Source organism: Homo sapiens, chromosome 1 (genome assembly GCF_000001405.40).
Source record: "Homo sapiens chromosome 1, GRCh38.p14 Primary Assembly".
Taxonomy (NCBI): domain Eukaryota; kingdom Metazoa; phylum Chordata; class Mammalia; order Primates; family Hominidae; genus Homo; species Homo sapiens.
This window is the reverse complement of record NC_000001.11, coordinates 156,212,801-156,240,467: the sequence shown is the minus strand read 5'-3', so window position 1 is coordinate 156,240,467 and position 27,667 is coordinate 156,212,801. Positions and strand designations below refer to the sequence as shown.

Genomic DNA, 27,667 nt, shown 5'->3' with positions numbered 1-27,667 from the left:
GATTACAGGCACATGCCACCATGCCTGGCTAATTTTGTATTTTTAGTAGAGACAGGATTTCACCATGTTGGCCAGGCTGGTCTCGAACTCCTGACCTCAGGTGATTCACCCGCCTCGGCCTCCCAAAGTGCTGGGATTTCAAGCATGAGCCACTGCACCCGGCCGTAATGATTCTTGGAGGGTGCCAAGAGTGACATCTCCTTGGCAGCTCATCCTATCCACAGGGAACCCAGGGGTCCTGGTTTTTGTACAAGGGGCTCTGCTGCTCTCTGCACATGATGGTCTAGTAAGCCCCTTGCCAAACCACCCCAGCCTGGATGCTCCCAGAGGACCACGACTGAAGCCTTGACTGGAGCCAGCATTTGGGAGCCCAGGAGCAGGTCTTGGCCCAAGAGAGGCCAGGGCAGAGGAAGCATGCTCACAGATTACAGTGTAGTGAAGGAAGTTTATTTACGGATGTGGAGAGAACATGGTAAAGGCCCCTGGGCTGGCCAGCAAGGGGGCAATCAGTGGAGATTGAAAACAGATTCTCCAAGCCAGGGCCAGGGAAAAGGGCTGGGGAACCAGCAGGAGGGGGGCGGAGGGGCAGAGCTGACCTGAACCTAGAGAAGAGAGAACATGGCCAAGAATTATCCAGGTAGAAGAAACAGAGGAATCTAAAGGGGGTGTATGTCCAACCCCAAGGGTGCCCCAAAGGCACAGTGGCAGTGAGGCTTGCTCTGGCCTAGTCCTCCAGCAAATTCCATCACTGCTGATGGACTGGGCACCATTTCAGCCGTTCTCAGAGGTAGCCCGCCCAGGCCAGGCATGCTGGACCACAGGCTCTTGACCTTGACTGCCCTCTGCTTCTGGGGCTGGCGGTCTCCTCACTCAGGCTCCCTCAGCACAGCAACCAGCTCCCTCTGTTCTCTGTGTAGAGCCTGAAATCAATGGGAGACAACAGACAAACTGGGATCTAAGAAAACCCAAATCCTTGCCCTCCACTGTCCCTGACTCCAGGCCTGGGGTTTCCCCCAGGACAATATGGATGGAGTCTGTGGCTAAGTCATGGGCCCTGCAGAGCATGTTAGGATGAAGGCACATCAGGAAGTCCCCACCATTCGGCAAGTATTTATAGCAAGCTGGGTTCTGTGACCACCTAGGCTGGGCATCCCCAGAGCAGAGCCCATCATCTTCAGCAAGGGTCCCCAAAGTGGCCCTTCAATCCTCTGACCTCAACAGAGCTTTCTAGCGAGAAACTTTCTTGAATTAAGTACACTTTCAGTTGAGTTACAGACATGGAAATTGCCCATGTCAAACAACGTGAGGGTCTGTAGCTGGAATGGGTGGGGCATGGCTTTAAGAGCAGGGGGCTTTGTTCCTCTTAGGATAGCACTGAATCTCAGAGCTGGTGAGGCCCTGGGATCATTATCTAGCCAATTTGGAAGCCAGGACCCAGAGACAGGAGTGACCCATGGCCTCATGGTGACTGAGTGGCGATAGTGGAGCAGCGCCTTGCCTGAGGACTCAGCAGGGGGCCCTGGGAGTGCCCAAGACACAACTCGGAGCTGTGCCCTGCAAGATGGCACCAGGCTTGGGGGGGGGGCCTTTGTCACCACCACTTTCGCGCCTGCTGCCCAGTCCCCCAGGCCAGTCTGTGATGTGGGGAGAGCAGAGGGAGTGGGGACAGTAGGGAGCAGAGCGGCTGCCGGCCTTCCACTTGTCACTGCCTCCCAGCCGGGGCCCTTCCCAAGCTGCAGCAGGGCCTTCAGGCTACAGCTAACTGGTATTGGGAAGAGAAGACCAGGGAGATCCAGGAGCCATAAATTTGGGGACCTGTATCCCTCAGGAATATGAGTGTTTGCCCCAGGAAGGGGGCTGTCAAGTGGCTATAAGTAGATGTACATTGGATACTGACATGAAGGATGGAGAGAGTTCGACAGAGATGCCGCCACTTGAGCCCTACTAGAAAGCTTCTCTTGGAAATGCACTTTGAGCCCATAGGAAAATCTGTCTCATTGTGGTGCAGCCAAGCTGCTACTGTGTCATTCAGCTTGATCATCATCTTCTCCTTTCTTCACCCAATGTGGCCCCAAGTGATGTCGGGCCACTTTCAAAAGTTAAGTTCGCCCTCAAAGGACACACAATTGTGGCATGGAGGATATGTGTTAGATGTGTGAAGGCTCTACAAGTCATTCTAATATACACGTTATTTAAATATTGGGCAATGGCAGATAGTCAAAATAATCCTGAGCACAAAGAACAAAGCTGGAGGCATCACAGTACCTGACTTCAAATTGTACAAGGCTCTAGTAACCAAAACAGCATGGTACTGTTATAAGAACAGACACATAACCAATAGTATAACAGAATACAGACTCAGAAATAAATCCATATACTTATGGCCAACTGATTGTCGGCAAAGGTGTCAAGAACAAACAGTGGGTAATCTCAGCACTTTGGGAAGCTGTGGCAGGTGGATCACCTGGGGCCAGGAGTTCAAGACCAGCCTGGCCAACATGGTGAAACCCCGTCTCTACTAAAAATACAAAATTAACCAGGCGTCACAGCAGGTACCTGTAATCCCAGCTACTCGGGAGACTGAGGCTGAGGCTGAAGCAGGAGAATCACTTGAACCCAGGAAGCGGAGGTTGCAGTGAACCAAGATCATGTCACTGCACTCCAGCCTGGGCAACAGAGCAAGACTGTCTCAAAAACAAAGTTGAAATAGAACATTTCTGGGGCCAGGTGTGGTGGCTCAAGTCTGTAATCCCAGCACGTTGTGAGGCTGAGGTGGGTGAATTGCTTGAGCCCAGGAGTTTGAGACCAGCCTGGCCAACATGGTGAAACCCCATCTCTATTAAAAATACAAAATTTAGCTGGGTGTGGCAGCTCATGCCTGGAATCCCAGCTACTCAGGAGGCTGAGGCATGAGAATGGCTTGAACCTGGGAAGTGGAGGTTGCAGTGAGCTGAGATCGTGCCACTGCACTCCAGCCTGGGCAACAGAGTGAGACTCTGTCTAAAAAAAAAAAAAAAAAAAGACAAAAAATAACATGCTGGTGAGGATGCAGAGAAAAGTTGATCTCATAAAGGTAAAGAGTAGAATGATAGTTAACAGAGGCTGGGGGAAAGGGTGGAGGATGAAGAGAGGTAGTTTAATGGCATAAACATACAGTTAGGTAAAAGGTGTAAATTCTGTTCAACAGTAGTGTAAGGCAACTATAGTTAACAACAATGTACTCCATATTGCAAAGTGGCTAAGAAGAGCCTTGTGCAGTGATGAGCACATGTAATCCCAGCTATTCAGGAGGCTGAGACAGGAAGACTGCTTGAGGCCAGGAGTTCGAGACTGGCCTGGGCAGTATAGCGAGACCCCCATCTCAGAACAAAACCAAAACCAAAGTAGTTAGAAGAGAGGTCTTGAATTGCTCCCAACACATAGAAATGATAAATACTCAAAGTGATGAACACCTCAAATACCCTGACTTGATCACTGCACGTTCTATGCATGTAGCAAAATATCACATGTACTTCCTAAATATGTAAAATATGATGTATCAATTTTAAAAAATACTGTCTCATCCTCTGTTCTTGTTCTCTTCCCATCCCCCTACCATATACCGGGTTTAGAATATATATATCTATGTTGGGCAGTGGTCACATGGAGCAGTAGAACCAGCACCAGGTTTTAACTCCAAATCTGATGTGGAGGCGCTGTTACCTTGGGTGACTCACCTGCCCTCTCTGGGCCTGGGTCCTCACCTGCTCCATCAGGGGAACACATGCCTGTGCCTGGTGGAGGATCTGGGGGAGACTGTCTGCTGAGGCTGGCAGAGGCTACTGCACACGCCCAAGGAGAGGTAATTCATGACTGTTCCCCAGGGGGCAAGCTCTCCTACCCCCTGTGGGGGTCCCCTGTGTTGGAATGGAGGAAGCCACCAATTTGCGGATCTCAGAGGGCCCATTAGAGAAGGAAGAGGAAGAGGCAGGCTGGGACACTGACCTGCCAGGCCTGCTGCTGGGCCTGGACCTGTAGCTGCAGCTCCTCCACCTGCCTCCGCCCTGCCAGGACGGCATCTGCCAGCTGCTGGTTCTCGGCCTCCTGTTTCTGCACATGGCGCCGCAGGGTGTCCCGTTGCTGCAGGAAGTAGGGTGCCATAACACTGTGCAGATCCTTCTCTGGGATCCCGCTGGGGCGCCTGGAGGGCCACACGGGGCACAAGGAATGAAGGAGGCGGAAGGCCCTTGTGGAAGAAGGTTCAGCTTCCAAGCCCACACTCGGTGACATGCCCACCTTGTCCCAAGTTGGGCTGGCTTCCCAGGTCTCTCCTGTGGTCCCTCTCACCTCCCAAGACCTGTTCCTCGTAGGAATGCACACTTCCTTTCCCTGGGTTTCAATGCTTAGGGGTCCACCTCTCCCCCTTCTCACTTCAGCCCCTATCTTAGCCTTCCCGACCATACCCCACATTCCCCTCCTTTCCTCCACACACACTCCCCTATCCAGAACACTTCAGGGTGACTTTGTAGCCCCTGCCTCTGTCCTTGTGACCATGTGCCCGGCTGGTGCATCCAGTCCACCAGACTGTGAGCTTGAGAGGTTGGGGGTGGCTCCTGACAGAGGGCCCAGACTGTGGGAGGCCCCCATAAGTGTTGGCTGATCTGGGAAGATAAGGAAAGTCAAGTCTGAGGAGGCAAGATTACACAAGAGGTGGAAAGCACTGTGAGTTCTTTAAAAATTCTTTTTCAGGCCAGGTGTGGTGGCTCACGCCTGTAATCCCAGCACTTTGGGAGGCCAAGGCAGGCAGATCACGAGGTCAGGAGATCGAGAGCATCCTGGCTAACATGGTGAAACCCCATCTCTACTAGAAATACAAAAAATTAGCCGGGCATGGTGTTGGGTGCCTGTAGTCCCAGCTACTTGGGAGGCTGAGGCAGGAGAATGGCGTGAACCCAGGAGGCGGAGCTTGCAGTGAGCCAAGATCGCGCCACTGCACTCCAGCCTGAGAGACAGAGCGAGACTCTGTCTCAAAAAAAAAAAAAAAAAAAAAAAATTATTTTTCAATGGCTGAGCGCGGTGGCTCATGCCTGTAATCTCAGCACTTTGGGAGGCCAAGGCAGGTGGATCACCTGAGGTCCGGTGTTTGGGACCAGCCTGGCCAACATGGTGAAACCCCATCTCTACTAAAAATACAAAAATTAGCCAGGTGTGGTGGCGGGCGCTGTAATCCCAGCTACTCGGGAGGCTGAGGCAGGAGAATCGCTTGGACCCGGGAGGCTGAGGTTGCAGTGAGCTGAGATCGCACCACTGTACTCTAGCCTGGCCTGGACAAATGAGTGAGACTCCATCTCAAAAAAAAAAAAAAATTCTTTTTCAGTTGTGAAACTTAATTCTCTTAAGTATTAAGGTCACAGAGCATTTTTAAAAATTGGAAATTACAAAAAAGATTTCTACTCCCTCTGGCCTAGGATTCTAAGGGAGGGAGGGTTGCAGGAGGCAGGGGCTCAGCTGCTGGGGTCTTGCTGGCCCCTGCTCTCCACGGCTCATCCCAGGCCCCACTTCTCCACCTTGCACTTGGTGTACCAGGTAGCCGGCTGCTGCTGAAATGTCAGCTCCAGGAGAGCAGGTATTTGGTCTGTCTTGTTCACTGCTAAGTTTCTGGCATCTAAAACAGTATCGAGGCTGGGCGCGAGGGCTCACACCTTTAATCCCAGCACTTTGGGAGGCCGAGGCAGGAGGATCACCTGAGGTCAGGAGTTCGAGATCAGCCTGGCCAACATGGTGAAACCCCATCTCTACTAAAAATACAAAAATTAGCCAGGCATGGTAGTGGGGGCCTGTAATTCCAGCTACTCAAGAGGCTGAGGCAGGAGAATTGCTTGAACTCAGGAGGTGGAGGTTGCAATGAGCCAAGATCACACCACTGTACTCCAACCTGGGCAACAGAGCAAGACTCTGTCTTAAAAAAAATAGAAAAAAAAAACAATATCGATCATATAGTAGGTGCTCCCTAACCTGTTGAATGAACAAATGTATAAAAACCAGTTGCCCCACCAGCCTCATCTACACCTGTAAGATGTACATGGTGATTCCAAACCTCACGATTCTGCCTCCTCCCACTCCCCCCACCCACCCTTTCTCCCACAGGACCAACAGACCCTAAAATGAGCTCCCTCAGGAAGGCTTCTTCAGTCTGGCCTCAAACTACTTCCCTCCCTAATCCCCTCAACAACATGGCTTACCTGGGGCTCTCCTCCCCTGAAGGGAACTATGCGGTACAACAGTTTTCGCTTACTGTTTGGTGTCTGTCTGCTCTACTTGTCCCTGTCAAAAGGTTCTCTCTCAGGGGCAACAAGCCCAGAGTCTCATGGATATGGTGGACACAGGGTCAGCCTTTTAAAAGTTTTTTTTAGAGACAGGGTCTCACTATATTGCCCAGGCTGGTTCTGAACTCTTGAACTCCTGGTCTCAAGTGATCCTCCCACCTCAGCCCCCTGAATAACTGGGATTACAGGCATGAGTCACCACTCCCTGCTTGGGTCAGTCTTAAAGTCTCCTTCAAGAAGCTGAACTGTCCAGGCATTGTGGCTCAAGCTTGTAATCCCAGCACTTTGGGAGGTCAAGGTGGGAGGACAGCTTAAGGCCAGGAGTTTGTGACCAGCCTGGCCAACATAGTGAGACCCTGACTCTAGAAAAAAAAAAAAAAAGCTTAATTGCTGCCTCTTTCCTGTACCTTCTCACCTCCCCACCCCACTCTCACCAGGCTGGCTCTTTGCGGACTTTGCCTTCTTCCACAATTTTATCCAAGGCATTCAAGACAGCTTCTAGGTTCCCCTCCTCTTTGATGTCAGAGATTTCCTCCTGAAGAGAAAGGAGGAAAGAGCTGTAATGACACGAGATGAGCTCATGGCAAAAATATGCTAAACTGCTGACAGCACTTGGTAAGATTTTGGCTAATTTCTGTTCTAGGTCTTTATGCTTTCCCTGACATTCCAACTTTTCTACATGTGGCTTTTATAATTAAGAAAATAGGCTGGGCGTCGTGGTTCACGCCTGTAATCCCAGCACTTTGGGAGGGCCGAGGTGGGTGGATCACTTGAGACCAGGAGTTCGAGACCAGCCTGGTAACACGGTGAAACCCTGTCGCTACTAAAAAAAAAAAAAAAAATTAGCTGGATGTGGTGGCACTCAGCTGTCATCCCAGCTACTCGGGAGGCTGAGGCACAAGAATCACTTGAACCTGGGAGGCGGAGGTTGTAGTGAACCGAGATTGCGCCACTGCACTATAGCCTGGGCAACAGAATGAGACTCTGCCTCAAAAAAGCAAACAAAAATAATTAAGGAAATAAAATATAAAGTGGGGAAAATGTTTTATTTATTTATTTTTATTTAAAAAATCTTTTTAGCTAGGCGTGGGGGTGCACGTCTACAGTCCCAGTGATTCTGGAATCTGAGGTAGGAGGATTGCTTCAGCCTAGGAGGCAGAGGCTGCAGTGAGCTGAGATCACGCCACTGCACTCCAGCCTGAGTGACAGAGCCAGACCCTGTCTCAAAAAAAAAAAAAAAAAAGGAAGAAAAAAATTAAAATTTTAGGCCACTGTACCGGCCTAAAGTGGGAAATATTTAAAAAGAGCCTGTAGGCTGGTAGTTCATGTAATTCCAGCACTTTGGGAAGCCAAGGTGGGAGGATCGCTTGAGCCCAGAGTTTGAGGCTGCAGGGAGCTGTGATTATGCCGCTGTACTCAAGCCTGGGTGACAGAGCAAGATCCTGACTTAAAAAAAAAAAAAGACCCCATCAGCCTTTGCTGAGTTTGCATGGTCTAGAGAGCAGGCAACATAAAACACATAATCACAATACAGGACAGTGAGCAAAGGCTGCATCTAAGATACCCGCATCATTTGGAGGGGAGTGACGATGGATGCTGCAGCCTGCTGGGCACCCAGGACAGCTCTAGGGGCTGAGGAGACAGAGGTGTAGAGGGTGGGGCCACTGCCCTCAGGGGACTGACAATCTGGAGACAGAACCCAAGTCAACAGCACCTGCCAGGCTTCCCGCCACTCACCCGGATAGATGTCTGCAACTGAGCTATAAACTTGTCATAGATTTGCTGTGTCATCGCAGGCTGCAACTGGTAGAAGCACTTATAGCAGTCAGTGAATCTCTGGTAGCTGGCGGGAAGGAGAGAAGCAAAGGTGGGGAGGGCCAAGCATGAGGCCGGCCATCAGCCTGCCTGGGTACCTCCGCTTCGCATTACAGGACTCTGAGCTCTGTCCACTTCATGGCCCTGGTTAAAGCCAGTGGATGCAAATCTCTCATCTAAGCACGAGTCACCGAGGATGGTTCAACCCCATCAATGCCCCATCAGCATCCTCACTCCTTCTTAGGAGAGCCCCAGGTGAGTTTAAGTGTTTATCTCTTGAAGATTACTCCTCACTCCTTCCACAGTTTCTAGCAAGCTCTCGGGTTAGGCTGATGGTGCTGGTCTGGGGAACCACACTTTGAGAGCCTCTGGTCATTCCAGTGCCCTGAGGGACTTGGATTAGGACAGGGCATGTGACATCTGGGAGAGATTGGCTTACTCCTAAAAAGAGCCACATAGAAAGCAACTGATGCTCTCTCGGCAGGACATTACCATATCCAGGTGATGCTCTTTGGCAACCATGGGGGCCCTGGCCTGAGGGCAGAGTTTACACCAACCTGCAGCCACTCTACTTTGGGGCTTCTTGTTACATGAGGTAATATATTTCTCTTATTGTTGGAGCCTGATTTTCTTTCCTTTTTTTTTCTTGAGGCAGTCTCGCTCTGTCACCCGGCTGGAGTGCAGTGGCGTGATCTTGGTTCATTGCAACCTCTGCCTCCTGGGTTCAAGCGATTCTCCTACCTCAGCCTCCCAAGTAGCTGGGATTACAGGCACCCGCCACCACGCCTGGCTAATTTTTGTATTTTTAGTAGAGATGGGGTTTCACCGTGTTGGCCAGGCTGGTCTTGAACTCCTAACCTCAGGTGATCCACCCGCCTCAGCCTCCCAAAGTGCTAGGATTACAGGTGTAATCCAGCCTGAAGCCTGATTTTCTACTTTTCTTTTTGAGACAGGATCTCATTCCATCACCTGGGCTGGAGTGCAGTGACACAATCAGAGCCCACTGCAACCTCCAACTCCAACTCCTGGGCTCAAGGGATCCTCTTGCCTCAGCCTCCTGAGTAGCTAGGACTACAGGTGCACACCATCATGACCAGCTAATTCTTTTTTTTTTTTTTTTTTTTTTTTTTTGAGATGGAGTCTTGCTCTGTCGCCCAGGCTGGAGTGCAGTGGCGCGATCTCGGCTCACTGCAAGCTCCGCCTCCCGCGTTCACACCATTCTCCTGCCTCAGCCTCCTGAGTAGCTGGGATTACAGGTGCCCACCACCACGCCCAGCTAATTTTTCTGTATTTTTAGTAGAGACGGGGGTTTCACCGTGTTAGCTAGGATGGTCTTGATCTCCTGACCTCGTGATCCGCCCATCTCGGCCTCCCAAAGTGCTGGCATTACAGGCATGAGCCACCGTGCCTGCCATGACCAGCTAATTCTTTTATTTTTATTTTTTTGTAGAGTCGCGGTCTCACTGTATTGCCCAGACTCGTCTCAAAAAACTCCTGGGCTCAAGCAATCCTCCTGCCTCAGCCTCCCAAAGTGCTGGGAGTCTAGGGGTGAGCCATCATGCCCAGCCAAGCCTGATTTTAAATCAGGTCTCTGCCACTAGCAGCTGAGAGCTCCTCACTGATAAATCCTTTGCAGCTGGAAGTATTCAATGGTATCCAGTATATTCCCAATGGCTCATTCCTCTTGGACAGACAAACTCAAGTTAAATGAACTCTTTTGGCTGTTTTTCTCCCTCCCCTTTGTTTCCTCCCTCTCCCTTGCCTGTGTCTCTCTGTCCACTCTCAGGCCCTTCCCCTTCAACAAATATTCACTGAGTGTCTGCTATATGCTGATCACCCACCAGGAACTGGGTATTCGAGGTGGATAAGACTGACACGGCCCTCCCAGAGCTTCCAGTAGAGAAGGAGAGATGGCAGAAATGCAGAAACTCACATGCAAGTGATAATCATCTCTTGTAGAGAGTGGTTTAAAAGAAAAAGGCCAGAGTTATAGGGCTAACAGTGTATCAACGATCTTCTTTAAATTGGGAGCGGGTGTGGTCAGATGAAGCGGTGTTCGAGTGACTTGCAGAAAGCGCCTGAACCAAGGAAGATCTTCAAATACACAAAAGCTCACACTGATGCTGTACTGTAGGTCAGGATGCTCCTTGGCTGTGAGGATCAGGCTGGCGGGCCACTGGGTAAACAGGGCATTAGGGCCCTGATGCCCAACACAAAGCCCCACCCCTAGCCAGGGAGTCACTGCTGGGTCCTCCCTTTCTCATGGCTCTTTAAGCCTCCTCACGAAACCCGCCCCCAAACAATGTTTTTGGAAACAGGTGAAGACTAAGAGCAGTGGTATACTGGAGCCAGCTCACAGTGGCCTGCAAGAGAGAACTGCCAAATTTCCAGGAACTCTGGGCCAAGTGTTAAACACAGCCATTATTAAGAATTAAATTACATAAACTGACAATAAATTAACTTTAAAAGCAAAGGTCCTGGGCGCAGTGGCTCATGCCTGTAATCTCAGCACTTTGGGAGGCAGAGACCGGTGGATCACCTGACGTTGGGAGTTCGGGACCAGCCTGACCAACATGGAGAAACCTCGTCTCTACTAAAAAATACAAAAAATTAGCCGGGCGTGGTGATGCACGCCTGTAATCCCAGCTACTCGGGAGGCTGAGGCAGGAGAATTGCTTGAACCCGGGAAGCAGAGGTTGCCGTGAGCTGAGATCACGCCATTGCACTCCAGCCTGGGCAACAAGAGCGACACTCCATCTCAAAAAAAAAAACAAAAACAAAACAAAGGTCCTAAAGACTCCAAACATACCACTTCCTAATCATTCTACCACCTTTTACTCTGCTCTTGAGGTAATTTGTATATATTGTCTCTGTCTGGTGGAAATACTGGATCAAGGTAGCTGCTGCCCAGCTCTTCTCAACACTGTATCTAGTGATGCCATGTTGGTAGCTTAGGAGTATCTACACCTTGGAAATTGGCAAACACTGCAAACCGGGGCTCTCTTTTCAGAGAGCTGGTTGTAAGCAACTACCAGTACACTTCTGGGTCAGAGTGGCGGTCTCTCACCTTTTCAGTGATACACATTCCATGTGAGTACACCTTGGAAGCTAAGCTTAGGTACCTAAAAAACAATACAGTAGGCCAGGCGCGGTGGCTCACGCCTGTATTCCTAGCACTTTGGGAGGCCAAGGCGGGCGGATCATGAGGTCAGGAGATGGAGACCATCCTGGCTAACATGGTGAAACCCCATCTCTACTAAAAATACAAAAAATTAGCTGGGCGTGGTGGCACATGCCTGTAGTCCCAGCTACTCAGGAGGCTGAGGCAGGAGAATCACTTGAACCTGGGAGGCGGAGGTTGCAGTGAGCTGAGATCACGCCACTGCACTCCAGCCTGGGCGACACAGCAAGACTCCGTCTCAAAAAACAAAACAAAAATAAAAACAATACTGTACACAGAATAGACGATGGGCATTCCTTCAACCCTCAGCAGACTCCCAGATATCTTGTTTTGCTGCTGGCCTGACTAGCCACGCAGTCTGTGGCTACCAGGAGGAACGTGGAGGAACACATGATGCTGACCAAGCAGGGCTGGAATTGAAACTGGGTAATTGTGGCTTAAAACAGGTTTGGCTTAGACATGGGAGATCCTGTTCCTCCACCCAGCCTACTCAGCAGGCGGAGGGTCTGAGCTGGACGCATCTCTCTTCAGCTCAGGCAGCTGACAGCGGATAGGGCCCAGGGCAGGGGTGAAGCAAATTCTGACCACCAGCGCTGGCTGTGACCTGTTCTGAGGTCTCCTTTATGGTATGATAATTCAGTGAAAGTGAAGGACCACAGAAACACACACACTCATACACAGACACAAGATGAAATATATGCTAACAGGACAATGTGGCTTAACCAAGGAGAAAGGCAGCCAGACTGGTGCCAGTGTCAGTGAGTACAGGAAGAAGGTGATGTCTTTCTTGAGAGCCAATGCAGAATTGGGAATGTTTTGAATGCCCTTGTGGATTTTCTGAAAAATATACTCAGGGAGAAGCAGGAAAGTGATACACTAAAAAAAAAAAAAAAAAAAAAAAAAAAAAAAATCGCCAGGTGCGGTGGCTCACGCCTGTAATCCCAGCACTTTGGGAGGCCGAGGCGGGCAGATCACCTGAGGTCAGGAGCAGATCACCTAAGGTCAGGAGTTCAAGACCAGCCTGACTAACATGATGAAACCCTATCTTTACTAAAAATACAAAAATTAGCTGGGTGTGGTAGCGCATGTCTGTAATCCCAGCTACTTCGGAGGCTGAGGCAGGAGAATCACTTGAACCCGGGAGGCGGAGGTTGCAGTGAGCTGAGATCATGCCATTGCACCCCAGTGTGGGCAACAAGAATGAAACTCCGTCTCAAAAAAAAAAAAAAAAATCATAGTCAGGTGCAGTGGCTCACGCCTGTAATCCCAGCATTTTGTGAGGCTGAGGCAGGAGGATCACTTGAGCCCAGGAGTTGGAGACCAGCCTGTGCAACACAGCAAGAACCTGTCTCAATAAAAAAAAATTTAAGGCCAGGCGCAGTGGCTCACACCTGTTATCCCAGCACTTTGGGAGGCTAAGGCAGGGGGATCACTTGAAGTCGGGAGTTCGAGACCAGCCTGACCAAAATGGAGAAAACCCATCTCTACTAAAAATATAAAAAATGAGCCAGGCATGGTAGTAGGCACCTGTAATCCCAGCTACTCAGGAGGCTGAGGCATGAGAATCGCTTGAACCCGGGAGGCGGAGATTGCGGTGAGCTGAAATCGCACCACTATACTCTAGCCTGGGCGACAGAGCAAGACTCTGTCTCAAAAAAAAAATAAAATAAAATAAAATAAATTTTTTAAAAAATTAAAAGAAATTTTAAATCTTGGCTCACTGCAACCTCCGCCTCCTGGGTTCAAGCAATTCTCATGCCTCAGCCTCCCAGGTAGCTGGGATTACAGGTGCCTACCACCACGCCCAGCTAATTTTTGTATTTTTAGTAAAGACAGGGTTTCACCATGTTGGCCAGGCTGGTCTTGAACTCCCAATCTCAGGTGATCCACCCACCTCGGCCTTCCAAAGTGCTGGGATTACAGGCGTGAGCCATTGAGCCTGGCCAAAAAAAAATTTTTAATTCATGACCATTTGCCCCAAGTGTCAAATTTTATCTTTTTACGCAAATTATAATATCCTTGTGGACAAGGATGCCGTCTGCAATGCTGCTGGGATCTCCAGGGTGCCCACAACCATGTCAGATGCACAGCAGCATGTAAGACGCTCTGTAGACTGGGTGACTGGGGCTAAGGTAAGGCCTGGGCTGCCCACCCTGGACCCCAGGATCCCAGGACCTGAAAAGCTTGGGAAGAGGAGTCCTCCCCCAGGAGCCTCCTCTGCAACCTCTCTGCCAAGGCCCCTCTTCACCCCATGACGGGATGGTCTCTTGGCCCTGGCCTCCAAGGGTACATAAGAGGTCACCCAGCTACCCAATGCATACTGGGTAACTTTACTGGTTCTCTGGACAGACTACCTGTCATTTTCCCTGGATTCAAATCCTATCTCTACCACTCATCAACTAGTGACCTCAGACTACTTCTTTACCTCTATAAACCTCAATTTCCTCCTCTGTCAAATGGGGATAATAACTATCTAGGCCTCACAAAATTACTGTGCAGATTAAGTGAGGTAAAATATATAAAGTCCTCAGTACGGTGCCCAGCACATTGAAATGCTTCATGTGAGCTACAATTATTCTTACTAATCTCAAAATAACAGTCCTCACTGCCCTTCTGAAGTACAGAAGTCAGTAACTTGGCTCCCCAGAGCTGGGAAGTCTCCTCCCGGGTGGAAGGCAGGTGCTAGTGAATGAGGCTTGTGTGCAATTGCACATGCAGAAACCAACCCAGCAGGGGTAAGAACCAGCTGTCAGGATTTGTCCCCACTAGAGAGAAAAGGCCAAATTGTGGCCTCAAAAAGGCTAAATTTATCAGAAATGAAAGTAACTTTTAAAAACCACATTTACTGAGTTTCAAAACTGAGATGACTATATTAACTGATTTTAACCTGTTATTTTTTCTTGGGAGGCCAACGCAGGAGGATCACTTAGCCCAGGAGTTCAAGATCAGCCTGGGCAACATAGTGAGACCCTGTCTTCACAAAAAAATTTTTAAAATAAAAATAAAAACATTAACCAGGCACAGTGGCTCATACCTGTAATCCCAGTGCTTTGGGAGGCCGAAGTGGGGGGATCACTTGAGGTCAGGAGCTTGAGACCAGCCTGGCCAACATGGTGAAACCCCATCTCTACTAAAAATACAAAAATTAACCAGGTGTGGTGGTACATGCCTGTAATCTCAGCTACTTGGCAGGCTGAGGCAGAAGAATGGCTTGAACCTGGGAGGTGGAGGCTGTAGTGAGCAGAGATCGTGCTACTGCACTCCAGCCTGGGCAACAGAGTGAGACTTCACCTCAAAAAAATAACAAATAAATAAAAATATTTAAATAAATTTGACTTCAAAATATTTAAGCACAGAATCAGGCTCTGGTCATTTGTCAATCTGTTGGTTTACATATGCAGATAAATTGTGCAGGACAGCATGGAAAGATAAAAGAGGGTAACACAATATCACGGTGTACACAGTGCTAAGGGAGCCAAAAAAGGAGCCAGGACTTGCCTTCCTCCCCTGTGGTAACCTGCACGCCGCCCAACTGAAGGCCTGTTTCACAGACTGTCCACCAGAGGGCAGGCGGGGACCAGCACTTCCGTCCCAATGAAGGAGTGGAGAGCTGAGAACAAAACAAACAGGCTGAGAACAAAACAAACAGAAGCTGGGGATGCAAAGGGCAGAAGAATGGTACAATGGACTTTGCCAACTGTGGGGAAAGGGTGGGAGGGGGGTGAGGGATAAAAGACTACATACTGGGTATAGTGTACACTGCTCGGGTGATGGGTGCACCAAAATCTCGGAAATCACCGCTAAAGAACTTATCCATGTAACCAAACACCACCTGTTCCCCAAAAAACTACTGAAATTAAAAAAAAAAAAAAAAAAAAAAAAAAGCTGAGGACTGGAGTGACAGAAATTCTTGCTCTTCATCCCCTATTCACTATACGGCTGTCCATTTCATTAAGAAATGTTTCTCATCAGGGCATGGTAGCTCATGCCTGTAATCTCAGTACTTTGGGAGGCTGAGGTGGGCGGATTACCTGAGGTCAGGAGTTCGAGACCAGCCTGGCCAATATGGCAAAACCTCCTCTCTACTAAAAATACAAAAATTAGCAGGGCGCAGTGGCAGGCGCCTGTAATCCCAGCTACTCGGGAGGCTGAGGCAGGAGAATCGCTTTAACCCGGGAGGCGGAGGTTGCAGTGAGCCAAGATGGCGCCACTGCCCTCCAGCCTGGGCAACAGAGCAAGACTGACTCAAAAAGGAAAAAAAAAAAATTCTCCATTTGGTCTTTTTCTCTCTCCACTTTCTGGTCCTGTGTACACTGGGAAGCCCCAGGACTGAGAAAGGGAGAGGAGGAAAGAGGGAAAGAAGAAAGAGATAAATGTTTCTTTTTTATTTTCTTTTTTTTTTTGAGACGGAGTCTCACTCTGTCGCCCAGGCTGGAGTGCAGTGGCGCGATCTCGGCTCACTACAAGCTCCGCCTCTGGGGTTCACACCATTCTCCTGCCTCAGCCTCCCGAGTAGCTGGGACTACAGGCCCCTGTCACCACACCCAGCTAATTGTTTGTATTTTTAGTAGAGACGGGGTTTCACCGTGGTCTCGGTCTCCTGACCTCATGATCCGCCCGCCTCAGCCTCCCAAAGTGCTGGGATTACAGGCGTGAGCCACTGCGCCCGGCCTGATAAATGTTTCTTAATGAAAATAAGAGGAAAGTCTCCAGGCCAGTGATTCAAGATGAATCGTTGTATTAAAAGGTTATCCTTTAAAAATTAGCCTTTCGACAGGTACAATTAGGATTCTGGTGTTGTACAGTAGAGTGACTGTGGTTAACCGTAAAATATTGCAGATTGCCAAATAGCTAGAAGAGATGCTTTTGAAGGTTCTCACCACAAAGAAATGATAAATCTATGAGATGACATGCTAATTACCCTGATTGGATCATTATACAACATAGATATGTACCCTATAAATATGTACAATTACAATGTGTCAATTAAAAATAAATACTTAAAATTAATCCTAATTATATCTTTAGGTTATTTGGTCTCTTGGACTAATTTAGTCTTTTATTGTTTAGCTTCTTCCTTTGAAAACTGCTGGGAAAACTTCAAAAATCTGAAATTGGGATACTTTTCCTGAGAAAGATGGAAGAAACTTTGTGGTTTGATAAATATTAGCATGAAGATAAAAAATGCCAGCAGGATAATTGTATTCATTTAATAGATACTTACTGAGCACCGACCAGGTACCAGGCCAAGCTTGGTGGTACAAACCCAAAGACGAAACAGTACAATTCCTGCCGTCAAAGGGACTGCAGATCAACCTTTGGGAAAATGGGTATGAGACAGCATGGGGCCTTAGCAGGGGCTCGGGGAAGGCTCCCTAGAGGAAGCAATGTCAGAGAGAGAAGCAGGAGCTGGCCACAGGACAGGAGAAGAGCAGCATGGACTAAGTTCAGGCAGTGTAGCTGAAGGGCGGGTGTGTGTGTGTGTGTGTGTGTGTGCACGTGCACATATGTGCATGTGTGTGAAGATGCAGTAATAATAGGAAACTGAGGACTGATTAGTGCCAGGCCCTGTTCTATGTACTCTACATAACTCACTGAATCCTTACCATGATTCTGTGAGGCGGGGTTCTATTATCATCACCCCCATTTTTCAGATGAGGAAGCTGAGGCAGAGAGAAGCTTGCCCAAGGTCACACAACCAGCATGTGATGGAGCCAGCTGGGACTCAATCCAGGCCATCTGGCCATGTTGGCTTCCATGCAGGGCCAGACACAGAGTCTGGAGTGTGGATGTATCATGACCGGAGGAGCTAGAAAAGGGACTGAAGCAGAGATGTGATATGAACAGATCTACACCTTAGGACATGCACTTGGCTGCTATGTGAGGGTGGCTTCAGGAAGCACAGCTGAGACAACAGCAGCCTGGAGCAAGGCAAAAACAGTGGGGACAGAAAGAGGTGGATGGTCTGGAAACATACGGAGGGAAAGTATGAGCATGCCAGGCCTGGAGCCACACACCACAGTTTGATGACTCATGCCCACCCTTCAGAAACAAAACACCACCAATAGCAGGCATCACCTGCATATTCAAAGAGGGTGAGATATTTCCAGGGCATTTATAGTCAGAATAGTTTATATATTAAACCACTCTTTTTCCTGTGATGAACTATTTCCTATGAACACCAACAGTCTTTGGCACTAGTTCATTACAAATGCAATTCGCTTTCTTTTCTTGGTCACTGCCAGACGTAGGCTTTAAGTCACTTTACACATCTTACCCTGTGCGGCATATCCCAGGCCAGAAGACTGAACCACAAGGACATCTCTAAGTATGGCATCTAAGAACTTAAGAACTGTCGCCATACACTCACGCCTGTAATCCCAGCACTTTGGGAGGCTGAGGCGGGCGGATCACCTGAGGTTAGGAGTTTGAGACCAGCCTGGCCAACATGGTGAAACCCCGTCTCTACTTAAAAGTCTGTATTCGGCTGGGAGCAGTGGCTCATGTCTGTAGTCCCAGAACTTTGGGAGGCCGAGGCGGGCAGATCACCTGAGGTCAGGAGTTTGAGACCAGCCTGATCAACATGGAGAAACCCCATCTCTACTACAAATACAAAATTAGCCGGGCGTGGTGGCTCATGCCTGTAATCCTGGCTACTCAGGAGGCTGACGCGGCAGAATCGCTTGAACCTGGGAGGTGGGGGTTGAGGTAAGCTGAGATCGTGCCATTGCACTCCAGCCTGGGCAACAAGAGCGAAACTCCATCTCAAAAAGAAAAAAAAAAGTATGTATTCATATATGACACTTATTGAGCCCTTTCTCTGGAAACCAGCTGAGAGTAAGTTCCTATTTAATCAAATGAGGAGAAGGATGTTCTACTGAGGAGAAGCAGCAGTGGGAAGACAAGGTGGCAGGGGTGAAGGCAGGGGGGCAGCACTTGGTGCAGAAGAGCTTCCGTGCCCATGTGTGGTCTGCACTGGCACTCAGGTGTGCATGCGCTGTACTCCCACGGCCCTGACTTGGGGTTGGTGAGATGGGAAGGAATGGCCTTGTACACTGTGCTAAGGAGCTTGCATTCATTCTGGAAGCAACCCTGAACCAATTAAACATTTTAAGCAGGAGAAGGGGATCAAATCTGAGCTGTAGACTGGTGGGAGGACACAAGACTGAGGCTGGAGGGCCAGTTTGGAGGCAGGTGCAAGAGTCACAGTGAGAGACAGTCAGGGCCTGAACTCAGACAGTGTCAGCAAGGATGGAAAGGAGGAGTCGGAGGCGAGAGAGGCTGAAGCCAACAGGGGTGGGCAGTTGAATGGAAGTGAAAGGGATGGACAGGCCAATGAGGACTCTCAAATCTTTAGCCTAGAGAATGGATAGTGGTAATTCCTTCAACCAACTCAGGGATCACAGGAAGGGAAGAGGTGGAAGAGAAATCCTGTTCCCATGCTGAGCTGATGATTCTGTGGGACACCAAATGGAGATTTGTAGTAGTAGACTGTTGGAGTTAGAGGTCTGAAACTCAGGGGAGATATTGCTTGGGAATCCCCATTTATCTAAAACTATGTACTGAATGCCTCCTGTATACCAGGCACCGTGATGAGTGAAGAATAGAGAATGATGAACAAGACAGACAAGATACTGCCCTCAAGGACCTTAGGTTTTATGTAGGGGAGACTGACCACAAATAAGTAAACAAGCAGACAACAGAACAGCAGACTGCAATATGTGCTATGAAGGAATAAATAACCGGTGTCTATCATGACAAATAACCAGGGGAGCAAGGTGGCCTTAGAGCGGGTCAGGGAAGAGATGAAGGAAGACCATTCTTGGCAGAGCAAACAGCAAGTGCAGATGCCAAGGCAGGAAAGCACTTGAAGTTCCAGGCAATGAGGAGGTCAGTATGAGTGAGTATGAGTGCAGCAGGGCACAAGAGGTAGCCCGGGCCTAGAAGCCCTGGTGAGGAGCAATGGACAGTCACCGAAGGCTTTCAGTAGCAGCAAGACATCAGATGGGAGGAGGGGGTGAAAGTAAGGAGAGGGCAACATTCACACGTTTAAAGGACAAGAGAAGAGGACCCCGGGAAGGAGCAGCTAGTCAGGTAAAGGGGCAGAGAATGACGTCGGAAACCAAGGGAGAAATCTGAAGAACAGAGGAGTGGTTGACAATGTCAAAGCCTACAAGGAAAGCAAGTACGTTAAATATTTTAAAAATATATATCCAGCTGGGCGCGGTGGCTCATGCCTGTAATCCCAGCACTTTGGGAGGCCGAGGCAGGTGGATTACCTGACATTAGGAGTTCGAGATCAGCCTGGCTAACATGGTGAAACCCCATCTCTACTAAAAATACAAAAATTAGCTGGGCGTGGTGGCGGCACCTATAATCCCGGCTACTCAGGAGGCTGAGGAGAATTGCTTGAACCCAGGAGGTGGAGGTTGCCATGAGCCGAGATCACGCCACTGCACTCCAGTCTGGGCAACAAGAGTGAAACTCCGTCTGAAAAAAAATAAAATATATATACACACAAACACACACACACACACATACATGTATATATCTCCAAAGTATTTAGCAACAAAGAGGTTATTAATTACGTTGAACGGGGTAGTTTTAAAGGAAGGGTGGCGGAATGCCCCAAGATGAGGAAAAACTGGAGACAGGCTGGGTGCAGTGGCTCACACCCGTAATCCCGGCCCTTTAGGAGGCTGAGGCGGGAGGATCACTTGATCCTAGAAGTTGGAGACCAGACTGGGCAATGTAGCAAGACCCCATTTCTACAAAAAAATCTAAACAAAAATATTAAAAAATTGGCCAGGTGAGGTGGTGCATGCCTGTAGTCTCAGGCAGCTACTCAGGACGCTGAGGCAGGAAGATCACTTGTGCCCAGGAGTTCAAGACCAGCATGGGCAGGCCGGGCATGGTGGCTCACGCCTGTAATCCCAGCACTTTGGGAGGCCGAGGCAGATGGATCACAAGGTCAGGAGATCGAGACCATACTGGCTAACACAGTGAAACCCCGTCTCTGCTAAAAATAGAAAAAAATTAGCCGGGCGTGGTGGCGGGTGCCTGTAGTCCCAGCTACCCGGGAGGCTGAGGCAGGAGAATGGCGTGAACCCGGGAGGTGGAGCTTGCAGTGAGCGGAGACAGCGCCACTGCACTCCAGCCTGGGCAACAGAGCCAGACTCCATCTCAAAAAAAAAAAAAAGACCAGCATGGGCAACATATCAAAACCCCATTTCTACAAAAAATACAAAAATTAGCTGGGTGTGGTAGTGTGTGCCTGTAGTCCCAGCTACTCGGGAGGCTGAGGTGAAAGGATCACCTAAGCCAGGGAGGCGGAGGTTGCAGTGAGCTGTGATCATGCCACTGCACTCCGGTCTGGGCGACAGAGCATGACCCTGTCTCAAAGAGAAAAAAAAATTAGCCAAGTGTGGTGGTACACATCTGTAGTCCCAGCTACTTGGGAGGCTATGATGGGAGGATCACTTGAGCCCAGGAGGTTGAGACTACAATGAGCCATGATTGTGCCACTGCACTCCAGCCTGGGCAACAGAGCAAAATCCTGTCTCTAAATAAATAAATAAAGAGAAAAGATGGGACTTGCTGGACCAAACATAAGGTTTCCTACAAGGGCCTGGTTTTAACAACCCACATGCACTGGCAGAGACAGGCAGATCGGTGGGGCAGGAGAGAGACTCAGGGACATAGTGGGCTAGGAGCTGGCCATTGGTAAGGGGGCTCCATCAAGCAATGGAGATGAGCTGTGTAGTTGATGGTATTTGGGAAAGTTAGAAAAATAAGCCTGGCTTGAGACTATCACTTTATACCTTAATCCAGCCAGATTAAAGATTTAAAGAGTAAAACGATGAAACAGCTAAGAGAAGAAAACACTGGAGATTATCTTTGTGACCTAGATGTGGGCATAGCCTTTATAAAAAAGACCCCAAGGTCTTTTTTGGTGCATGGTGGCTCACACCTGTAATCCCAGCACTTTGGGAGGCTGAGGCGGGCGAATCACCTGAGGTCAGGAGTTTGAGACCAGCCTGGCCAAAATGGTGAAACCCCGGTCTCTACTAAAAATATAAAAATTAGCCAGGTGTGGTGGTGTGCACCTGTAGTCCCAGCTACTTGGGAGGCTGAGGCATGAGAATTGCTTGAACCTGGGAGGAGGCTGCAGTGAGCCAAGATCACGCCACTGCACTCCAGCCTGGGGGACAGACCGAGACTCCGTCTCAAAAAATAATAATTAAAAAAAAATAAAAAAATAAACAAGACCCCAAAAGCACAAATCATAAGGTGAAAAAAAATGAATGGAAGTAATTACATGAAAATTAGGATTAAAAAAAAACGGATTAGGCAATATCTGTTTTTTTGTTTTTGTTTTTGTTTTTGAGACGGAGTCTCGCTCTGTCACCCAGGCTGGAATGCAGTGGCGCAATCTCAGCTCACTGCAACCTCCGCCTCCCAGGTTCAAGCAATTCTCCTGCCTCAGCCTCCCGAGTAGCTGGGACTACAGGTGCGCGCCACCATGCCTGGCTAATTTTTTTGTATTTTTAGTAGAGATGGGGTTTTACCATGTTGGCCAAGATGGTCTCAATCTCTTGACCTCGTGATCTGCCCGCCTCAGCCTCCCAAAGTGCTGGTGATTACAAGCATGAGCACTGCGCCTGGCCTATATCTGGCATTTTTTTAAATGGCTCTTTGAGTTAGTCAAGAGGCTGAGAAAAGGAGTCAGGAGGATCCATGCAGTTCATGAAGGGTCTGCAGGCATAACTGCATTTCCCTTCTGTGTCATCCTCTTAAGGGAAAATGGAAACAGTTGAAATGTGTGCTGCTTTTTATTTAATTGAAGACTTCTGTTCCTCAAAGGACATCATCAACAAAGTTATCACCCAATAGATATTTCCTTCTATACTAGCAACTCTAGCAAATCAACAAGATAAAAAACCCATTTTTAAAAAAGTTCTGAAAATGAAAGGCTGGAGGAAATGAGCAGGCAGTTCTCAGAAGAGGAAGCCAAAATGACTAAGTACATGAAGAAATGCCCAAACCTGCCAGGAATCAGGGACACACAGATTAAAACAAGATACCGCTTTCACACCTGGCAGAATGACAAATATTAGAATGGTAAAAAACCCAGTGACGGTGAGAAGGTGGCAGACAAGAACAGCTTTTCTGGAAAGTAATCTGATGGAACAGAGGTAGGTGTAAACTCTAGGATCCAGTGATCCCTCTCCCAGTTACATGTCTCAGAGAAATTCTAGCACTAGCTCCTGTGGAAATGTACAAGGATATTCACCCTGGAATAATTTATGGATGAGGAGCTGATAGGAAATGGGTAAGTGGTGGATGCATATCAAGGACTGACAGGCAGCACTAAGAAGCTATGAACCATGTGCATGTGCACTTTTAGAGCATGGTTAGTTTTGTTTTTTTTTTTTTTTTGAGTTGGAGACTAGCTCTGTTGCCCAGGCTGGAGTGCAGTGGCGCAATCTCAGCTCACTGCAACTTCCCCGCCTCCTGGGTTCAAGTGATTCTCCTGCCTCAGCCTCCCAAGTAGCTGAGATTACTGGTGGGCATTATGACACCCGGTTAATTTTTGTATTTTTAGTAGAGACGGGGTTTCACCGTGTTGGCCAGGCTGGTCTCAAATTCCTGACCTCAAGTGATCCACCCACCTCGGCCTCCCAAAGTGCTGGGATTACAAGCGTAAGCCACCACACCTGGCCTGACATGGTTAGATCTTGAAAACAATGTTGTTGAGTAAAAAATGGCATATGTAGCACAATATCATTCATATAAATTTAAAACATACACAGACAAAAATATAACATATTTTACAAGGATACAGTCAAATGCCACTTCCTTAACCTCCTCCTCACCCTGACCCCTCTTCCCCATTGCTCTCTATTCCTTTTTTTTTTTTCTTTTTTTTTTTTATTATACTTTAAGTTTTAGGGTACATGTGCACATTGTGCAGGTTACTTACATATGTATACATGTGCCATGCTGGTGCGCTGCACCCACTAACTCGTCATCTAGCCTTAGGTATATCTCCCAATGCTATCCCTCCCCGCTCCCCCAACCCCACCACAGTCCCCAGAGTGTGATATTCCCCTTCATGTGTCCATGTGATCTCATTGTTCAATTCCCACCTATGAGTTAGAATATGCGGTGTTTGGTTTTTTGTTCTTGCGATAGTTTACTGAGAATGATGATTTCCAATTTCATCCATGTCCCTACAAAGGACATTAACTCATCATTTTTTATGGCTGCATAGTATTCCATGGTGTATATGTGCCACATTAGAGCCCCCCGGGAGCGGAGGCGGGCCGGCCGGCCAGCGAGTCGATCGGCCCTGGCCAACTCCCCACTCCGGGGAAGGGGCGGCGGACAACCCAGCGGAGACGAGAACGCCTGACACGCACGGCACGGAGCCAGTGGGGTGGGGTTGTCGCGGCCGCCCCGGGCGCCCGCAGCGGAGAGCGCACGGGGGCAGGGTAGCCCTCGCCGCCTTCCCCGCCGCCCCCGGGTGGGTCAGAGACCCGGACCCGGGCCGGCACCGGGAGTCGGGACGCTCGGACGCGCGAGAGATCAGCAGGCCCGCGGGCCCCAGCAGGCGGCTCAAGCAGGAGCACGGCCGGCTAGCCGGGTCACCGGTAGGCCAGAGCCCCGCACGCATCCAGAGTCCCAACCTCTCCAGCGACAGGTCGCCAGAGGACAGCGTGTCAGCTGCTCTCTATTCCTTTACACTGATTTTATTTTATTTTATTTATTTTTTTGAGATAGAGTCTCACTCTGTTGCCCAGGCTAGAATGCAATGGTGGGATCTTGGCTCACTGAAACCTCCGCTTCCCAGGTTCAAGCGATTCTCCTGCTTCAGCCTCCCGAGTAGCTGGGATTACAGGCATGCGCCACTAGGCCCGGCTAATTTTTATATTTGTAGTAGAGATGGGGTTTCGCTACATTGGCCAGGCTGGTCTCGAACTTCTGACCTCAAGTGATCCACCCGCCTCTGCCTCTCAAAGTGCTGGGATTACAGGTGTGAGCCACTGCGCCAGGCTCAATTTTATTTTTTTTTAATGGTACCAGAATGTCTACTCCAAGAAGATTGGAACCTTGTCCATCTTGATCACTGCCTTATCTCCAGCAACTAGAACCCTACTAGAACTAGAACAAATTTATTGACACTGTCAATGGTCAGTAAATATTTGTGTTATAAATAAGTGGCCGAGGCAGGCGGATCACCTGAGGTCAGGAGTTCAACACCAGCCTGGCCAACATGGCAAAACCCCATCTCTACTAAAAATACGAAAATTAGCTGGGCATGGTGGTGCATGCCTGTAATCCCAGCCACTCGGGAGGCTGAGACAGGAGAATCGCTTGAACCCAAGAGGCAGGGGTTGCAGTGAGCCTAGATTGTGCCATTACACTCCAACCTGAGCAACAGAGCAAGACCCTGTCTCATAAATAAATAAATGGGACGGGCACTGTGGCTCATGCCTGTAATCCTAGCACTCTGGGAGGCTGAGGTGGGAGGATCACTTGAGCCTCAGAGCTTGAGATCAGCTTGGGCAACACAGCAAGACCTCATCTCTAAAAGAAATAAAAATAAATAAATAAATAAATAAATGGGGGGACATATAACTAAGAGAAAGTGGGGACTATGGGAGGGGAGACAAGGGCAAGAATGAGTAGGGAAAAATAAATACAACAGGGGAGGGACCGTGCCAGGACATATGATGATGACGTGCCATGATTGGTTCATAAAAGTGATTACAAATTATTTTATCAAATTCATTATTATGGCAAACTAGGCCCTGCATGATAAGGCTGTTACCTGCCTCTCCAGCCTCATCTCATTTTACTCTGATCACTATGCTGTAGCCAAGAAGGTCTCTGCCAGTTCCTGGAATATCTGATCACCTCAGGGACTTTGCACAGGCTGTCCCCTTTTCCTATACATTCGTTCTGTAATTCTTCAAAAAGGTGGTTCCGCCTGGGTGCAGTGGCTCATGCCTGTAATCCCAGCACTTTGGGAGGCAGAGGTGAGTGGATCGCTTGAGCTCAGTTCGAGACCAGCCTGGCCAACATGGTGAAACCCTGTCTCTACTAAAAAATACAAAAATTAGCTGGCCGTGGTAGCAGGCACCTGTAATCTCAACTACTCGGGAGGCTGAGGGAGGAGAATCACTTGAACCCGGCAGGTGGAGACTACAGTGAGCCGAGATCGAGCCACTGCACTCCAGCCTGGGCAACAGAGCTAGACACTGCCTAAAAAAAAAAAATAATAATAATAATAATAATAATAATCTGGTTCCTTCTCATCCTTCAAGTTCCAGCTGAAATGCCATCTCAGAATGGGCGCCCCAAGCATCCTATCTAGTGGTATCATTACCTGTTCATTATCTTTTTTTTTTTTCTTTTTTAGAGGCAGGGTCTTGCTCTGTCACCTAGGCTGGAGTGCAATGGGGCTGTTATAACTCACCGAAGCCTCAAACTTCCAGGCTCAAATGATCCTCCTGCCTCAGCCTCCCAAAGCACGGGGATTACAGGCATGAGTCACTGTTGACACATAATAATGGCCTTACTATCTTACCAGCCTATGTGATGATGTTGTTGGCGTCTCTACGCATTGAATGCAAGCTCCAAAAAGACAAGAGGCCTTGTCTGCCTCATGGTATCCCCAGCTGACACTCAAATATTTGATGAGTCATGAGTGAAGACAAATCATTAATTATGCGTAGGAAAGGTAAAGTGCTGAACCCAGGAGGAATGGACTGGGAACAGATGAGAGTCCTGATGAAGCCAAAGAACAGGGAAGTGGGGATAGAGAGGGCTAGAGAAGGAGAGGCTGTGGTCAGGGCACCGAACTCCTGGAAGCGTTTCAACACTGATGTGCTGGGGTGGTGGGATCATGGGCAAAACTCTCGAGTCATATAAATTATATAAAAGTGAAGGCCGGGCGCGGTGGCTCACGCCTGTAATCCTGGTACTTTGGGAGGCCGAGGTGGGTGGATCACGAGGTCAGGAGTTCCAGACCAGCCTGGCCAACATGGTGAAACCTCGTCTCTACTAGTACAGATACAAAAAATTAGCCGGGTGTGGTAGTGTGCACCTGTAATCCCAGCTACTTGGGAGGCTGAGGCAGGGGAATCCTTTGAACCCGGGAGACGGAGGTTGCAATGAGCCAAGATCGCGCCACTGCTCCAGCCTGGGCGACAGGACGAGACTCCGTCTCAAAAAATAAAAATAAAAATAAATAAAATAAAAGTCGAGACAGGAAAAATGTTTCTTTTCATGGTAACACATTTAGTCCTGGCAATCTCCCAGTGAAGAAGATATTCTCATAATAGCTAACAAATCTTTCTATGTGTCAGGTCCTGTCCTAGGCGCCTTAGGTGTATTTACTCATTTAATTCTCAAAACGACCCTATGAGAAAGGTACTATTGCTGTCACTTGACTGACAAGAAGCCGACGAGGGAGAGGGGGCTTACGTCTTGCTCACATAGTGGTGGGCCGCGACTTAAACCCTGATCTGTAGCCGGGCGCGGGAGCACGAGCCTGTAGTCCCGGCTACTTGGGAAGCTGCGGCAGGAAGATCGCTTGAGCCCAGGAGGTCGAGTCTGCAGTGATCACGCCACTGCACTCCAGCCTGGGCGACAACGCAAGGCCCTATCTCAAAGATAATAAAAAAATAAAAAACCCTGCTCTAATTTGCAAAGGCTCTATCTTTCCTCCCAACCACCTGAAATTTTAGTGAAAACGGGGCTTCCTGTAGGAAGGAGTAGCTAGCTATCCCGGTCCGCTACAGGTTATCAGTGCGTGAATACCCTGACTCCTAAGGCTCAGGATTTGACTGGGTCGCCTCGTCCGACTGCCCCGCCCCCAACGCGGACCCACGTCACCGCGCGCCAGCCTGCGGCCGTCCTGACCTCGCGGGATTTGAGCTTCGGTGCCAACAAACACTCCCACCGCGGCTGCGTCCACTTTACCTGCCGGCGGCGACCAGCTTCTGAAGAAAAGTGTCCACCATGGTGTCGAGGAGCTTCACCCTCGAAATGGTAGTGCCGGGTGGCACAGATTCCGAAGACGACCCCTCATGCCTTTTTTCCTCACAGCCGCTGCCTAGATTGGCGCTACTTGCTTCGGCCATGTTGAAGTTGAACCTCCAAATCTAACTGGCCCGGCCTCCCCGCCTGCCGGAGCTCCCGATTGGCCGCTCCCGCGAAGGGTGCCTCCGATTGGAAGCAGTAGAACGTCTGTCACCGAGCAGGGCGGGGGCGGGGAAGTCATCGGAGGCTGAGGGCAGCGGGGAGGCGAGGCTCTGCGCGGTGGGATGTCCGCGACCGGAAAAATACGCGCAAGCCA

The 27,667-nt window shown here is 49.2% G+C and overlaps 2 protein-coding genes across 14 annotated transcripts in view, besides 5 other annotated features; both read right to left on the bottom strand.

Annotated features, from left to right (window-relative positions):
* The window catches only part of PMF1-BGLAP (PMF1-BGLAP readthrough), a 30,345-nt gene extending 2,865 nt beyond the window's left edge, over nucleotides 1–27,480 (bottom strand). The window contains exons 1-4 of one of the 4 annotated variants that reach the window (NM_001199662.1): nucleotides 27,292–27,480; nucleotides 8,043–8,148; nucleotides 6,740–6,840; nucleotides 3,985–4,180 (exon numbers count right to left, since the gene is read on the bottom strand). In NM_001199662.1, the coding sequence (NP_001186591.1) occupies nucleotides 3,985–4,180; nucleotides 6,740–6,840; nucleotides 8,043–8,148; nucleotides 27,292–27,452 (564 nt within the window). In that variant the 5' untranslated portion in view covers nucleotides 27,453–27,480. The remainder of the gene's footprint in view (nucleotides 1–3,984; nucleotides 4,181–6,739; nucleotides 6,841–8,042; nucleotides 8,149–27,291) is intronic. The other 3 variants (NM_001199661.1, NM_001199663.1, NM_001199664.1) reach the window with 3 other exon arrangements.
* Nucleotides 426–27,461, bottom strand: PMF1 (polyamine modulated factor 1). Of its 10 annotated transcripts, none has more exons than NM_001199654.2 (5): nucleotides 27,292–27,461; nucleotides 14,800–14,911; nucleotides 6,740–6,840; nucleotides 3,985–4,180; nucleotides 426–920 (listed from the first exon to the last, which is right to left on the bottom strand). In NM_001199654.2, the coding sequence occupies exons 1-5, from the start codon at nucleotides 27,450–27,452 to the stop codon at nucleotides 867–869; spliced, it is 624 nt and encodes a 207-aa protein (NP_001186583.1). In that variant the 5' UTR covers nucleotides 27,453–27,461; the 3' UTR covers nucleotides 426–866. The 10 variants fall into 10 exon arrangements, with proteins under 10 accessions (NP_001186583.1, NP_001380839.1, NP_009152.2 ...); NM_001393910.1 differs by having other exon boundaries at nucleotides 3,985–4,119; NM_007221.4 differs by lacking the exon at nucleotides 14,800–14,911 and adding an exon at nucleotides 8,043–8,148.
* Nucleotides 14,092–14,151: an enhancer, noted in NCBI's record as "active region_1857". NCBI's record gives its function as "activates an Ori minimal core promoter by ATAC-STARR-seq in GM12878 lymphoblastoid cells {active_cell/tissue: GM12878}" and the evidence as "EXISTENCE:reporter gene assay evidence [ECO:0000049][PMID:35858748]".
* Nucleotides 20,604–20,663: a silencer, noted in NCBI's record as "silent region_1422". NCBI's record gives its function as "represses an Ori minimal core promoter by ATAC-STARR-seq in GM12878 lymphoblastoid cells {active_cell/tissue: GM12878}" and the evidence as "EXISTENCE:reporter gene assay evidence [ECO:0000049][PMID:35858748]".
* Nucleotides 26,949–26,998: an enhancer, noted in NCBI's record as "active region_1856". NCBI's record gives its function as "activates an Ori minimal core promoter by ATAC-STARR-seq in GM12878 lymphoblastoid cells {active_cell/tissue: GM12878}" and the evidence as "EXISTENCE:reporter gene assay evidence [ECO:0000049][PMID:35858748]".
* Nucleotides 27,079–27,128: an enhancer, noted in NCBI's record as "active region_1855". NCBI's record gives its function as "activates an Ori minimal core promoter by ATAC-STARR-seq in GM12878 lymphoblastoid cells {active_cell/tissue: GM12878}" and the evidence as "EXISTENCE:reporter gene assay evidence [ECO:0000049][PMID:35858748]".
* Nucleotides 27,209–27,478: an enhancer, noted in NCBI's record as "active region_1854". NCBI's record gives its function as "activates an Ori minimal core promoter by ATAC-STARR-seq in GM12878 lymphoblastoid cells {active_cell/tissue: GM12878}" and the evidence as "EXISTENCE:reporter gene assay evidence [ECO:0000049][PMID:35858748]".

What these genes read in the sequence shown, in the direction of transcription:
- PMF1 (NM_001199654.2), bottom strand. Translation starts at nt 27,452, where the DNA reads ATGGCCGAAGCAAGTAGCGCCAATCTAGGCAGCGGCTGTGAGGAAAAA. An exon ending in AAGCTGGTCGCCGCCGGCAG is followed by an intron (nt 14,912 to 27,291) that starts GTAAAGTGGACG and finishes TTTTGTTCTCAG; the next exon opens with CTCTCCACTCCTTCATTGGG. An exon ending in GTCCGCAAAGAGCCAGCCTG is followed by an intron (nt 4,181 to 6,739) that starts GTGAGAGTGGGG and finishes GTGGCCCTCCAG; the next exon opens with GCGCCCCAGCGGGATCCCAG.